General features: G+C 43.4%; 1 protein-coding gene across 10 annotated transcripts in view, besides 2 other annotated features; it reads left to right on the plus strand.

Moving 5' to 3' along the window:
* MFSD6 (major facilitator superfamily domain containing 6) overlaps nt 10,425–15,918 on the plus strand; it is a 94,739-nt gene continuing 89,245 nt past the window's right edge. For 7 of the 10 annotated variants that reach the window (XM_047444825.1, XM_011511368.1, NM_001375992.1 and 4 more), the window contains exon 1: nt 11,204–11,352. The gene's annotated coding sequence lies outside the window, so the exon portion shown is untranslated. Of the gene's footprint in view, nt 10,600–11,203; nt 11,909–15,918 lie in introns of those variants that run through there. The other 3 variants (NM_001375989.1, XM_047444824.1, NM_001375986.1) reach the window with 3 other exon arrangements.
* Nucleotides 10,475–10,524: an enhancer, noted in NCBI's record as "active region_16860". NCBI's record gives its function as "activates an Ori minimal core promoter by ATAC-STARR-seq in GM12878 lymphoblastoid cells {active_cell/tissue: GM12878}" and the evidence as "EXISTENCE:reporter gene assay evidence [ECO:0000049][PMID:35858748]".
* Nucleotides 10,785–11,824: a silencer, noted in NCBI's record as "silent region_12178". NCBI's record gives its function as "represses an Ori minimal core promoter by ATAC-STARR-seq in GM12878 lymphoblastoid cells {active_cell/tissue: GM12878}" and the evidence as "EXISTENCE:reporter gene assay evidence [ECO:0000049][PMID:35858748]".

Genomic DNA, 15,918 nt, shown 5'->3' on the forward strand with positions numbered 1-15,918 from the left:
TTTGTTTCACACAGAGGTACTGGCGAATGACTCTGAAACTACTTGATGTGTATACTAGGTTTGAACAAATACTTATTCTGCACACAATGCAAGCCAGGTTTCTCACTGATAGAGAATAGTTACAAATAATCAAAGAGAGAATGTAAGAATAAACTCTATGATTCTGGACTGGAGTTGGAGGTATTAGCATGAAATCATGTTTTGTTTTATTTTTAATTATATATAGTTAGGAAGGTACAGAAATAAATATTGATATGTATGTATAAATAAGTTAGTATATACATACATTTTCTCCTCTGTCCACTGAATGGATCTAGAAGCAGTGATACCTCACTTAATAATGAGCACATCTAGTTCATTCCTAATAAAAAGAACCAAGGTTCTCTGGAGACACGATTGATTCCAGTGTTGTTGCAGGGCATCTTGTGATGTCAACCCTCCTTAAAAATATAAATAAATAGGCATGTAAAAAAGACACAGACATAAACAAAATGTGGTATATACATATAATGAATATTATCAGCCTTAAAAAAGAATGTAACTCTGACACATGCTGCAACATGGATGAGCCTTGAAGACATGTTGAGTGAAATAAGCCAGACACAAAAGGACAAATATTGTGTGATTCCACTTACACGAGGTACCTAAGGTAATCTTGAGACAAAGTAGAATGGTGGTTGCCAAGGGCTTGGGGGAAGAGGCAATAGGAAGTTGCTGTTTAATGAACACAGAGATTCAGTCTGGGAAGATGAAGAGGTTCTAGAGATGGAAAGTGGCGATTTTTGTGCAACACTGTGAATATACTTAGTGCTATTGAGCTATACCTTAAAAATTGCTAACGTGGGCCGGGCGCAGTGGCTCACGCCTGTAATCCCAGCACTTTGGGGGGCTGAGGCGGGTGGATCAAGAGGTCAGGAGATCGAGACCATTCTGGCTAACGCAGTGAAACACCGTCTCTACTAAAAATACAAAAATTAGCTGGGCATGGTGGCGGGCGCCTGTAGTCCCAGCTACTGGGGAGGCTGAGGCAGGAGAATGGCGTGAACCTGGAAGGCGGAGCTTGCAGTGAGCCGAGATCGCGCCACGGCACTCCACTCTGGGCGACAGAGTGAGACTCCGTCTCAAAAGGAAAAAAAAATGCTAACATGATAAATTTTATGTTATGTGTATTTTACCAAAATTTTAAAAACAGTTTTACAATGCAAGTCATATGAAGACTAATTTGCAAAGATATTTTGATGAAATCCATGGCAAAATTATCCTTTTTGTAAGTTTAAAATTCTGCTGAAATTAATAAATTAGACTCAAATTCCATCCTGAGAGAACAAAAAGGAGAGTAACCAACCTGAGTCACCATGGCAAAAGCTGGAATAATTTAAGCAAGAAAATAAAAGTATTAGATTTTAAGTCAAAGAATAAAATAAGTATTCATTACTTCATACAAATATCAAGTATTGAATAAGTAAAGAAAGAGAGAAAAGGGAAAAATTTTTCTGTGTAAGAGAATTTCAATTAACAAATATAAAAGGAATGAAGAAAATAGAAAATCTCAATTAGAATACCACAGTAATGATAGCTGCAGGCAAGAACAATCGATGAATGCTAAAATTAACAAATAAAAATTTAAGGAGAAATAACATATCTGCAGAACATCAAAAGTGTCTCCTCCTAAATATTGTTGATTATAAAGGGAAAGATAGTGACTTATCTTTGTCTGTTTGTGCTGCCTATAACAAAACACCTGAGACCAGGTAATTTATAAATAATAGAGATGTATTTCTCACAGTTTTGGAGGCTGGGAAGTCCAGGATTAAGGTACAAGCATTTGGTGTCTGGTGAGGACTGCTTTCTGCTTCCAAGATGGTGTTCTGTTGCTGTATTTTCTGGAGGGGGCAAGTGCTGCATCCTCACATGGCAGAAGGAAGGGAAGGGCAGAAAGGGATGAAAGGAGTGAACTTGCCCCCTGAGCCCTTTTATAAGGTGCTGATTCCATCCATGAGGGTGGAACCTTCATGGTCGAAGCACCTGCTGAAGGCCCCACCCCTAAAGACTGTTGTATTAGGGATTAAGTTTCAACATGAATTTTAGAAGGGACAAAAACATTCAAACAATGGCAGTGACTTTACAGCAAAGAAACTTAGTACACAGAACTTCAGTGAGGGGATTAAGATTCACATTGCAGGTAGTGGAATATATGATGAGTGTGCTCTTGATATGATCTGAGAAGGGCACATTATCTTTGTGACATTCTTCCCAAAAATATGTGGCCCTGATCTAACCATGAGAAAAAATCAGTTAACCTAAATTGAGGATCATTCTACAAGCTACCTGACCAGCATCCTTTAAAAGTATCAAGGTCATGAAAGACAAGAAAAGATTGAGGAGCTGTCACAGATGGAGGGAGACTAAAAGGACATAAATGGTATGTGGAATCCTGAATTAGATCCAGGAACAGAAAAAGGATATTGGTAGAAAGACTGGTGAAATCCAAATAGGGTTTGAATTAGGGTTTTGTTAGGGTATTGGTAGCAATGTTAATTTCTTAGATGTGATACTTGTACTATGGTAGAATGCTAACACTGGGGAAAGCTGGGTGAGAGATGTGTGGAAATTCTATGTTCTGTCCTTGCAACTTCTCTAATGAATGCTAAAATTAACGAATAAAATTTATTTTATTAATAAAATTAATAAGCATAAATTATTTTAAAATAATTTTTTAAAAAGAAAAAATACTGACAATATAAGGTGAGGGCAACTATGTGAAACAAGAGAACTGTCAACAAGAGTATAAATTCTTGCAAACACCTTGGAAATTGTTCGGTATTAACTAACAAAGGTGAAAACCTGCATATCCTATAGCTTAGCTATTACAGTTGTAGGTATATACAATAGAAATTCATACCTATGTGTACCAAAGACAAGCACAAGGATGTTCATAGCAGCATTATTTGTAAATGCCAATGAATGGAAATAATCCAAATATCCATCAATGAAAGAATAAAAGAAAATAAAGTGAAATGTTTGTATACTGAAAATGAAATAACTACATACAGCAATATAATTTTGAGCAAAAGAAATTGTAGTAGGCCATTCTTGCATTGCAATAAAGATACCTGAGGCTAAGCATGTGGCTCCTGCCTGTAATCCCACCACTCTTGGGAGACTGAGGTGGTAGTATCCCTCGAGCCCAGGAGGTCAAGACCAGCCTGGGCAACATAGTGAGACTTTGTCTCTGAAAAAAAAAAAAAAAAAAAAAAAAAAAAAAGGCTGGGCGCGATGGCTCATGCCTGTAATCCCAGCAGTTTGGGAGGCCGAGGCGGGTGGATTGCCTGGGGTCAGGAGTTCGAGACCATCCTGATTAACATGGTGAAACCCCATTTCTACCAAAAATACAAAAAATTCGCCAGGCGTGGTGGTGTGCGCCTGTAATCCCAGCTACTCGGGAGGCTGAGGCAGGAGAATCGCTTGAACCCAGGAGGCAGAGGTTGCAGTGAGCTGAGATCACGCCATGGCACTCCAGCTTGGGCAACAAGAGCGAAACTCCCTCTCAAAACAAAAAAAAATAAAAATAAAAAAAAATTACCCAGGCATGGTGGTGCACTTGTAGTCCCAGCTACCTAGGAGGCTGAGGTGTGTGGATCGCGTGAGCCTGGGAGGTCAAAGCAGCGGTGAGCCATGATTGCACCACTGCACTCCAGCCTGGGTGACAGAGCAAGACCTTGTCTCAAAAAATAATTTAAAAAATAATAAAAGAAAAGAAAAGGAATTCTGTAGACTGAGTGATTTATAAAGAAGAGGTTTAATTGGTTTACAGTTCTGAAGGCTGTATAGGGAGCATGGTGCCAGCATTTGCTCAGCTTCTGGTAAGACCTAAGAAGTTTACAGTCATGGTGGAAGGCAAAAGGGGAGCCCCAGTATCACATGGTGAGTGCAGGAACAAGGGGAGGGTGGAGGGTGGAGGTGCCATACATATTTAAACAACAGATCTTTTTTTTTTTCCAGGCTGGAGAGCAGTTGCACGCTGGGCTCACTGCAACTTCCACCTCCTGGGTTCAAACGATTCTCCTGCTTCAGCGTCCCAAGTAGCTGGGACTACAGGCATGCGCCACCATGCCCAGCTAATTTTTGTACTTTTAGTAGAGATGGTGTTTCACCATGTTGGCCAGGCTGGTCTTGAATTCCTGACCTCGTGATCCACCCACCTCAGCCTCCCAAAGTGCTGGGATTACAGGTGTGAGCCACCGTGCCTGGCCAACAACCAGATTTTGAGAGAACTCAGTATCACAAGGACAGCACCAAGTCATGAGGAATCCACCCCCATGACCCAAACACCTCCCAATAGCCCCACCTTCCACACTAGGGATTACATTTCGACATGAGATTTGGGTGGGGACATCTAAACTATACCAGAAATCAAACACAAGGCCAGGTGTGGCAGCTCACGCCTGTAATCCCAGTACTGTGGAAGGCCAAGGCAGGAGAATCATTTGAGCTCAGGAGTTCAAGACTAGTCTGGGCAACATAGCAAGACCCTGTCTCTAATTAAAAAAAAAAAAAAAGAAATCAAACACAAAAGATTTTATACTCTTTGATTCCACTTATATAAAGTTCAAAAACAGGCAAAACTACCCTGTGGGGTTAGAAATCAGAATGGTGGTTACCTTTGGGGAGAAAGAAAGAGGTAGTAATTTGTAAAGGTCACAAGGGGATCTTGTGGAGTGCTAGTAATGTTCAGTTTTTTGCAATTAGTGGTGATTACACAGTTTTTATTATATTTATTGTAACTCAGTTGTACTCTTATGATCTGTGTACTTTTTTGTATGTATGTTATACTCTAATAAAAAATTTTAAAAATTAAAATATAATTTGTTTTTTTTAAAACCACATAACTGAGATACATTTGAAGTGCCTTGCTTACTATTAGATAGGTGCAAGGCTGGAAACAGGGAAGCCACTATGGAGACAGCTGCATTAGGTCCTGAGTTGGAGTGGTGTGTATAGGGATAGGGTAGGTGAAACATAGCAATGCTGAGAGGATACAATGGGCAGAACTTAGTGTTTGATTGAAGATGATTAAAGATTTTGGACTATCTGCTTTAAGCCATAGGGACCAAATGGATTTTTCTTAGGGGAGGAGGAACACGGTAGAAGAGATATTTTTGAAAAGTTAATCTGCGTACCACTCATAGCATATGTTGCCTGCTATTATAATTATGTTAATTATAACTGATCTATTTGTAGACATGTCCCTGTTAGTAAATCACAAGCCTCTTGATGGAAGGGACCTGATTTTATACTTCTATATCCAGGGCCTAACTCTCTGCCTCACTAAAGTAGATTTATTGCCATTTAAGTACATAAATAGTAGACAATAAACACCACATAATGTGGAACTGGATTGGGAATGAACAAGAAAAAAAAATCTTAGAGAGTACATGAAGGAAATGATATTCAAATATGTATTATTAATTTTTAAAGATTGTATTAAACCATATATAGAAAGATTCTTGATTAACCTAGTGAAAAATAGCTATGTCAAAACAATAGCCAGCCTCATACTCAGTGGCAAAGCAATAGAGATATTTGTAGTAAAGAAAGTAGTAAGAAAAGGAACAATTGTTGATCATCACCAATATTTACTATTATTTTGTCAACATAGTAAGATTTTAAATATAGATATAAATATTGGAAAGGAGACTAAAGTATCATTGTTTGTAGTTTAATATGATCACCCACCTAGAAAACTCAAGAGAATTAAGCAAAAAAGATATCAGAATAAAAGATTTAAATAAATTAGCCTTCTTTCCTTCTGTTTACATAACTCATCTTTTTGGTCTAGTGAAAGTCCCTCTTCCTTCATAAGCCAATGCTGAGGAGGGAGGGTGGGAGAGGGAGCTAAAAAGAATTCACCTCATCACTACTGTCACCATTGGATTTATCCATTTATTATCATCCATTCAGTCAACAAATAATTTATAACTCTCCTTCCATGCCCCTTCCATTTCCTCCCCGCAAGGTAATTAATGTCAAGAGTGGGGTGTTTATCCTTCCTTGCCTTTCTCTATGCTCTACAAGCATATTCCAACAGTCAGGCTCTATGATACAGTTACAATGGTATATCAGGGCTGCTGGTTGCACCCAGTGTCTGTTCTCTTCTTTCACAGTCATAGAATTTTTATCTGTGTACATGGATACTGAGTTAAAGACTAGATTTCTCAGCTTTCCTTGCAGATAGATGTGGTCATATGAGCAAGTTCTGCTACTGGAATTTAAACGAGTAATATGTACATATGTACAACTTCTGGTCATGTTCTTTTTCTTCTTCTTTTTTTTTTTTTGAGAAGGAGTTTCGCTCTTGTTGCCAAGGCTAGAGTGCAGTGGTGCGATCTCAGCTCATTGCAACCTCCACCTGCTGCGTTCAAGTGATTCTCCTGCCTCAGCCTCCCAAGTAGCTGGGATTACAGGCAATTGCACCATGCTTGGCTAATTTTTTGTATTTTTAGTAGAGACGGGTTTTCACCACGTTGGCCAGGCTGGTCTTGAACCCCTGACCTCAGGTGATCCACCCGTCTCGGCCTCCCAAAGTGCTGGGATTACAAGCATGAGCCACTGCGCCCGGCCCATATTCTTAAAAGAAAGGAAAATGCCTTCCCCTTCCCCTTTTCCCTTTTGCAATGGCTGGAATGTGCACATGAGAGTAAGAGTTGGGGCAGCCATGTTGGGTTTTGATGACAGAGCAACAAGATCAAAAGAGCATAAATCTCGAGTCCCAACACCATGGGCTCACTTATTTACCTAAACTTTTTAATTTTATGATTTTTTAAGTTCCAGGGTACATGTGCAGGATGTGCAGGTTTGTTACATATGTTTACCTAAACTTTTATATGAGGGAAAATCATACTTTTTAAAAAAATTTAAACCACTGTATGTGGGCTGTTCCAATGGACTACTGTCCATGCTAAATAATACAAATGTTGAACAACATAGTGTTTCCCCCTGTCTTTAAGGAGCTTGCAATCTAGCATAGAAGTTAAACAAATGATTACAATAGTATATGATAGATGCCATGATAGAGAAGGCACATGGTAAACGAAGCCACCGAGGGGCGATAAAGCCAGTCTATGGAGGACATAATGCTTTGTCTAGGATATGGAGGAGAGAGAGAGTGCAAACCACTTACACCTGCTTGAAACAACTCTTCTATAGTCTTCAGTGACAACATCCTCCTGAATTGCCTTCTACTTCTGACTGATCCTTCCTGGTTTTCTCTCCTATACCAACTGGTAAATGTTGGCCCTTCTCTGGGCTCTCTGAGTCTATTCTCTTCCTGAGTAATCCCCTTCAGTCCAATGACTGTAAATAGTACCTCAATACTGATGACTGCCAAATCCAGCCCTTTCTTCTGGGCTGTGGACTCAAGTTTAATTGCCTACTTCACAGCTCCACCTGCAAGGCTCACAAGCATCTCAAACTCACTGAGTCAAATGTGAATTCTTCCTTTTTTCCTTCCAGCCTGCTCCTCCCACAGTCTCCTCCCTCTCAGTAAAGGTTATCACAATCTTCCCTAGTTGCTCAAGCCAGAAACCTGTGAGTCATTCTTAACACCTCCTTTCCCTTGCCTCCCACATGCAACATATCACCAAGTATGCTCATATACTTCCCCAAACTCTCAAATCTATCTGTTTCTCTCCATCCCAGCCACTACCACTGTGGTCCATGCCACTGTTAACCTTTCTCCTTGCTACTGGTTACAGTTACTTTTTTTTTTTTTTCTTTGAGACAGGGTCTCACTCTGTCACCCAGGTTGGGGTACAGAGGTGTAATCATGGCTCACTGCTAAGGTTGGGAGATTGACCTCTCGGGCTCTGTCAATCTTCCTACCTTAGCCTCCCTAGTAGCTGGGACTATAGGCATGCCACCACACCTGGCTAATCTTTGTACTTTTTGAGAGATGAGGTTTGCCATGTTGCCCAGGTTAGTCTCAAACTCCTGGGCTCAAGTGATTCGCCCACCTTGGCCTCCCAAAGTGTTGGGATTACACGCATGAGCCACTACGCCCAACACCAAAAGAATCTTTACAAACACCTTACCATGTAATTTCTTTGCTGTCTCATAGGATTGTGCAACACCATGAGGCACCCTTCACATTGTATTGTACCTCCTAGCTGTGCAACCAGCCAACATTGCTCCTCTCCTAAAACATAGTGAGACTCCACCTGTACAAAAAAAATTAAAAATTGGCTGGGTATGGTGGTATGCACCTGTAGTCCCAGCTACCTGGGAGGCTGAGGTGTGAGGATCCCTTGAGCCCAGGAGTTCGAGGTTACAGTAAGCTATGATCACACCACTGCACTCCAGCCTGAGTGACAGAGCAAGATCCTGTCGAAAAGAAAAGAAAAGAAAACAGATTACTTTGGTGGCAAAGTGAAAAGTTGATTGGATGAGAGAACATTTTGAGGCAGAGAGACCAGAGAAATTTTGCAGGCAAAGGAGAGATAACAGAGATTAGGATAGCACAGGGATGGAGAGAAGAGGACAGGTGCTAGAGATATTTGAAAAGGTAGAATCAAGAGTTTGGCATCTGACTGGATGTCATAGACAGAGTCATGGCCCGCTGTAGATGTCCATGTCTCAATCCCAGGAGCCTGTGAATATGCTTCATGGTAAAAGGGACTTTGATGATGGGATTAAGATTCTTGAAAGGAGGAGATTACGCTAGATGATGAAGGTGAACCCAATGTAATGAGGGTCAGAGTCAGAAAAGGCAATGTGAGGATTGTGGCTGAGGTTAGAGTGGTGTGCTTTGAAGATGGAGGAAGGGTCCATGAGCCAAAGTATGTGAGCAGCCCCTAGAAGTGGAAAAGGTAAAAGAAATGGGTTATTCTCTACAGCCTACAGAAAGAATACAGCCTTGTAGTCACCTTGGTTTTAGTTCACTAAAACCCATTTTGGACTCTTGACCTCCAGAATCGTAAGATAATAAATGTGTGTTTTAATCCACAAAGTTTACGATAACTTGTTACAGCAGCAATAGGTAACTAATACACTGGGCATGGGTATAAGGGTGAAAGGAGCATTGAGAAGAAGGGCCTTGTACAACTGGGTGGATGGCTGTTTGGGACCCCAGAGTCTGGGAACCCAGAAGCAAGAGTGAATGAGGGGCCGGGTGCAGTGGCTCACACCTGTAATCCCAGTACTTTGGGAGGCTGAAGTGGGGGGATCATTTGAGGTCAGGAGTTTGAGACCAGCTTGGCCAACACGGTGAGACCCCATCTCTACTAAAAATACAAAAATTAGCCAGACATGGTGGCACATGCCTGTAATCCCAGCTATTCAGGAGGCTGAGGTAGGAGAATCACTTGAACCCGGGAGGCAGAGGTTGCAGTGAGCTGAGATCACGCCACTGCAATCCGGCCTGGGCGACAGAGTGAGACTCCATCTTAAAAAAAAAAAACGAGTAGGGGAAGAACAGAAGGTAAAGAAACATTGACGTGGCACTTAGTGAGGTTGGGGTGCCTGTGACACATCCCACTGGACAACTGGCCATAAGGATCTGGCCCTCAGGAGAAAAGCTGACCCCGAGAGAGGGCTTTTGGAGCACCCTCAAATATTCTGTGATTGAAGCCAAGGAGTGAGAGAATTCGCAGAAACAAACAGAATCAGAAGAAAGGAAAGCCTAGAACAAAACCCAAGGAAAACTAAAACTCAAGTGGAGCAAAGGGGAGTGGCCAGAGAGGAAGAGGAAAACCCAAGACTTGTGGGTCACAGAAGGCAGAGGAGGGGAGAGTTTCAAGGAGGAAAATCCAACACTTACGGAGCACCAAAAGAAGAGAAGGGAAGAGTTTCAAGGAGGGGACCAGTGTCTCGTGTTCCTGACAGGAGAAAGAAATGCCTGGAGAAAGAAATGATTGAATATCTACGTCAATATTGAAAGTGGATTTAGCATGAGGCTACTATAGTTTAAGCTTCAGAGACCCTTCATAAGCTCAGGAAGGGGCCCTAGAAACTTCGTATTTGTAATTGTTTTATTCTTCCTAAAGAGGGACTCAAAATTCAGAAACTTCAGGGCCTATCAAATTCTTACCAGTATGATTTCACGGTTAAGAGCTTAAAGCCTGGAGACAAAAGAAGCCTGCTTTCCCTTTCGCTGTTTAGTAACTTTGGATGGGTCACATTAACTTTCAGCCTCGGCTTTCCTCAGTTGTAAAATGGGAATAACGTTTCCTACACCTATAGGGTTATAAGGCTCAAAGAGTACCTACACAGTGCCCCGTACATAATCGATGTTTATAAGCGTTAGCTACCATTGTCACTCTTGTCGTTGTTGCCGTTAGCTACCATTGTCACTCTTGTCGTTGTTGCCAGAACAAGACAATAAACTCCTTAAGAACAGGATGTGGCATCCCCCAAAGCCCATCACAGGCACACAGACATACTTGCCAAGTGAATACTCCACTCTCCCCCAACTCTCTGCGTGTTTAACTAGAAATACAACTTTAATTATATTCTTAGTGCGACACACACGGTTGGCTTTTCAGCAAGATGCCAGTAGCAGCTTCCTGAAAAAGGGTGCCTTCGTCTCAGTGTTCCCCCTTCTTGGTGAGCCCCGAAACTCACAGATCGTTTGTCTCCCGCACCCCGCCGGCTCCTCCCTCCCGGGTCAACCTGGGACAGACGCGGAGATAACGCACTGACAGCATTAGCATTGTGTGTGCCACTTAAAAGGCGCTCAAGGAATAAGGGATGTTAGTACATTTTCCCCCACATTTCCTGGCCCGCACTCATTGCCTGGGGGCTCAGCGGAAGTCGCTTGGGGGTGCGGGGGGGTGGAGGGTGCGGTAGGGATGGAGCCTCGCCCAGTGCTTTCGCCTCCTCAGCGTGCTCCCCGGGCCCGGCTGGGTTCAGGTGTCCCTCCGGGCCGCCGGGGCGGGCTGGAGGCCGGGAGCGGGCAGTCGACGCATCCGCCGCCGCCGCAGGAGGCGGAGCGCTGCACCTGGCGGCCGGTCCTCAGCGCCCGGCCCTGAAACGGGTCCAGCCGGTAGTGACCGGCGGCGGCGACTGTGAGGCCGGGGCCGGGGAGGAGGAGGAGCCGCAGCGGGAGAGAAGGTCGCGCCGGCGGGAGCGCTGGGCCCTCCGCCTCCGTCCTCCGTGGCCCCACCCGGTCCGCATCCCTCGCCTCGCCTCGCCGCGCCCCGCCCAGCCCGTCGCAGCCCCGGAGGAGCGCGCGAGCAGCCCGGGATGGTGCGCGCTGCCCCGACAGCCGCCGCCCCGGCGCCCCGAGCCGCCGCCCCGTGCTCCGGGGACAGGGCTCCCCGCGCCCCGCGCAGCTGAGCGCTGCCGCCGCCGCAGCAGGTGAGTCGGGCCCGGCTTGCGGAGAAGGGGCTCGCAGACCCGCCCTGGCCTCCCCCGCCCCGCACGGGCCCAGCCGGAGGGCGGGTAGGCACCTCAGCCGCGCACACCTGCTGCCGGGAAAGGGGCTTCGGGGCCGGGGCTCGGAGCCCAGCGTGCGCCGCTGTCTCCGCTCGGGCCTCGCTCGCCCGCCGCTCCCTCCCTCCCTCCCTCCCCCGGCTTCCGTGTCGGGTGTCATCTTTGTGGGGTGCTGGGGGAGGCTGCCGCCTGCGCCCCCAGCGCGCCCCGTGCTGGCAGCACTTCCGCAAACGTAACTGGAGTCGGGAAAACAAAGGCGCTGCCCAGGGAGCCCTCGCCGGGCGCCCACAGCTGCTGCCGCGGGTGGGGACGGAGGGTGAGCGCCGATGCCCGGGTCCTCCTCCGCCCGGGCCGACCCGCGCCCTCGCCATAAACATCCCTGGGAAAAAGGAGGAGGTGAGAACCTCCACACAGCCCCAGTGACAAGGACGCGGCCACTTGTGTGGCAGGAGGAGGAAATTGACAACGTCTGCCCTCCCAGGTTAATAAATACGGAAAAAAAAATACCTCTGCTCTGCCAGCCACCATCCTAGCAGACATCCCCCACCTCGTGCTTTACTTCCACTTGGTCTAACATGTCTCTGGAGCCCTTTTGAGATACTACTGGGGGTTGCTAGTCTTTCTGGGTCATATTTATTGCCCATAGAGCAATTTTCCTGCAAATTTAGGTAAGATGGTGGAAAAATACAAACGCAACTTTCCCCCTCGTTAATCCCATCCCCACATGGACAGACAGGTGGGTTAATTACCTTTATGCATTCGCAACCACGGACGTTTCTTTTCATCCCAAAAAGATTGAATAAGCACCTCACAGAACTACTGGAACATATAATACCTTGCTTATTAGTGTGCAAAAGACTTAAAGAGTTGGGGTTCTAATCCCAACTGGTATTTAAATAGATGTGTGTGCTTGGGCATGTCACATCTTCCTGAGCCCCAGTTTTCTCACATGGAAAAGAGGATGGTTGGATATTATAGTGGCCAAAATTTCCCCTAATCCTTCTAGAAGTCCATGATTTTCTAGAAATCTAACCTCTTAAGTATAGATGAATGTGAAGGGTGGGTGGACATACAGTTGACTAAAATATGTAATAAAAGGAGATGTGTACTTGGTAGGTCCTTTCCCCAAGATGTGGGCACTAGCCAGCTAAAAGTGTATGCATCTGTTTTAGCCTTGTTAAGTAAAAGGATAGGATCCTCCTCTTTGGGAAGCTTGGCTTTTGACACGTCAAGCTGCTAGCAGAGGTGCAGGATATGGTCAGCTGTTTAGTGATAGTCAGATGGCTTGTATTTATCACGAGGTGTAAGTAAAATTTAGGATTGCTTAGGGGAAGGATGGGACATTGTTAATGAGCCCAGTGCAGGATGCTCTGGGGAAACAGGAGGAGAGAACATCACTTCAATAATGCATTAAAGCTACTAAGTAGTTGTGTGTCCTTCATGTTTACAGCAGTTTATTTCTAAGGCACTTTCCATCTCTATACAAATAAATATAAAAGCGTGAAGGCAAATAAAACACAAAGACAAAAAGCAGAGTTCACAGGTATTTGGTGGTGTGAGTATTGGATCACCAATTCCATCATATATAGTGTCTGGACTATTAACAGTATTAAGGCATTTTTTTGGGTACTTATTATGTTCAAGACACCATTGTAAACATTTAGTATCTCAATCTCTGTAAGATAAATCTTTCCCCTAGTTCTGTGCATGACAAAAAGGAAGCTCAGAAGGGTTAAGCAACTTACACAAACCACATAATCAGTAAGAGGTAGAGTTAAATTTGACCTCATGTTTCTGGCTCCAAAGCCCAGGAAATTTCCACATGGTGTCCCTCCCTAATCAGAACCTATTAAGTCTCTCCACCTACGCAGATGTCTTCCTTAGCTTCGTGCCTTTGAAAATTAACTTGATTTCAATGTACATGTATTACTTATGTTAACATTTAGCCATGTAGGATAATTTATATATTTATTACGTATGTATATTAATGTGTGTATGTTTACCCTTTTGTCCTCACCAGTTGTAGATTGAAGGCAGTATGAAGCTGACAGGTTTCTTTGTTTTACTTCCTTTGACAGCAAATCTTAATTTGGCAATCTCATTATAGGGAAAGGAAGAAATGCAAAAAATGTGTGTCTGCTAGCTATTTTGCACATTGGCTGAAAAATCAAGATGCTGTATATTAAATGAAAAAAATGGCTGGGCAAGGTGGCTCATGCCTGTAATCCCAGCACTTTGGGAGGCCGAGGCAGGTGGATCACGAAGTCAGGAGTTCAAGACCAGCCTGGCCAAGATGGTGAAATCCCACCTGTAATAAAAATACAAAAATTAGCTGAGCGTGGTGGCGGGCGCCTGGAATCCCAGCTACTCAGGGGGCTGAGGTAGAGAATTGCTTGAATCCGGGAGGTGGAGGTTGCAGTGAGCCGAGATCGCGCCACTGCACTCCAGCCTGGGCAACAGAGCGAGACTCTATCTCAAAAAAAAGAAAAAAAAAAACTAGCTTCAGAAGAAATTTATATACATTTGTTTAAACCTGCATACAGGCACACATACGCCTTTTTGTCCCCAAACTGTTGACAGTAGTTTTTTTTTTTTTTTTTCAGACAGAGTCTCGCTCTGTCACCAGGCTGGAGTGCAGTGGCTCGATCTCGGCCTACTGCAACCTCTGCCTCCTGGGTTCAAACTATTCTCCTGCCTCAGCCTCCCGAGTAGCTGGGATTACAGGCACATGCCACCAGGCTCAGCTAATTTTTATTTTTTTAGTAGAGACGGGGTTTCATCATGTTGGCCAGGATGGTCTCCATCTCCTGACCTCATGATTCCCCTGCCTAGGCCTCCCAAAGTGCTGGGATTACAGGCATGAGCCACTGCGCCCAGCCGACAGTGGCTATCTTCAGGAAGTGAGACAAGATGGAGAAAAGAGGATGTTTTTGCTTTTTACCTTATAAAGTTATGTTTGGGCTTAAAATTTTGTTTTTGGAACAAGCATGTGTTCTCTTATTATATAAACTAAAAAGGAAAACAAAAGAAGACTAGAATTAATTGATTTTATAACAATCCAAAGTAAGATAAAATTGAATGTGCCTAAACTCTAATGTTAGGGAAGTGAAATGAGACTCAGGAGATCAAAGTGAAAGGTGGCATACTGAGAATTGGGGGGCAAAGGGTAAAGAGTCTCAGGTGACTGGCTTTTACTTTTTCTAATAGTAACTGTAGCATATTCTACAACTCCTCAGTTTTCCTCCTCAATAAGAATGCTTTGGAGCATACACAATTTATCTGCTTGATTAGGGGTGATAAGAATTTCTTTCTTCCTGGTCTTGCTAGTGGTGGCTGTCTTTGGAAGCATGATTGTTCTGTACAGAACAATCTGGTAGAAGGTAGGAGTTGGAGAAACCAATTTACCTGCTGTGTCATCTCATGAAATTATGGCATTCTGGATGACTTTAGGTATAATTATTTTTAGTAACAATTTAGGAGAAGCAAGTTATCATAAAGTTAAACTAATCTGATGCATATGTACTTGTTAAATACAGTCCCATAGTTCTATCCAATTCTATGTAAAATTAACTAAAACCACTGCTTAGAATCCTTAAAAATTAATACATTTCCAGACTTAGAAATCCAGAGCCATAATACATTCAGACTTTTCAGAATCAAGAAAACACATGCTTAAACTTGGTTAATTATCATTGTGGTAGTAGGTAATCTTGAGAAAGAGGGAATTGTAAAAGTATTTTACAGAAGAGATATTCTCACAATTTTAGGTATTATCCAACATTTCATTTTGGGTTCTAATTATGTTTTAGGCAGAAGGAAATCTCCATCTTTTAATTTAGGAAACTTTGTTCAATAGGTTATCTTTAAAGGCAGAAATCAAGTGCAAAGTCCTACCCTACTACAAGGCCAGTTTGGGTAAAATTTCTTCCTCAAACTCAACTAACATGGCATTTCCTTGGGCATAGCATTTTTGATTCCTGGGAAAAGCAAACAAACACATCTGATGTCAATTCTGTGTGGGGCAATGAAAACACCTTAATGCCTCCACCAAGAACATTTCCTTTGAGTTTATAATTCCTCCATGTTTAATTATCCAACATTAGCTGTCTGTTCCCATTTACTCTACTGGCATTTTGGGGGTGAGAGGGGCTTGTGTCAGCCTGATTTGTTTTCCTAAATTCTGAATGATACGTTATCCAGTACTTAGCCCCACTGCTGGATTCAGTAACATTTGCTTTGTAGCTGTTTTTGATTGCCCACATTTGGATGATATTTATTTACTGTTTTTGCAAAATGGCATTGTCTCAAGTTGGCTGGGCAACTTTTGGAATCTACCAGTCATTTGTTCAGACAAGTGATGTTTGGTGCAGGGGCCAAAACAGAAAAGCCAACCAAATAATAAATAATTACAAACGTGGAACACCTAAACCTTGAGCCTATATGTTAATATGTGTCTGCTATAGTTACTGGTTGCTATGTTATGGCTTTAAA

This window comes from Homo sapiens, chromosome 2 (assembly GCF_000001405.40).
Source record: "Homo sapiens chromosome 2, GRCh38.p14 Primary Assembly".
Lineage (NCBI taxonomy): Eukaryota > Metazoa > Chordata > Mammalia > Primates > Hominidae > Homo > Homo sapiens.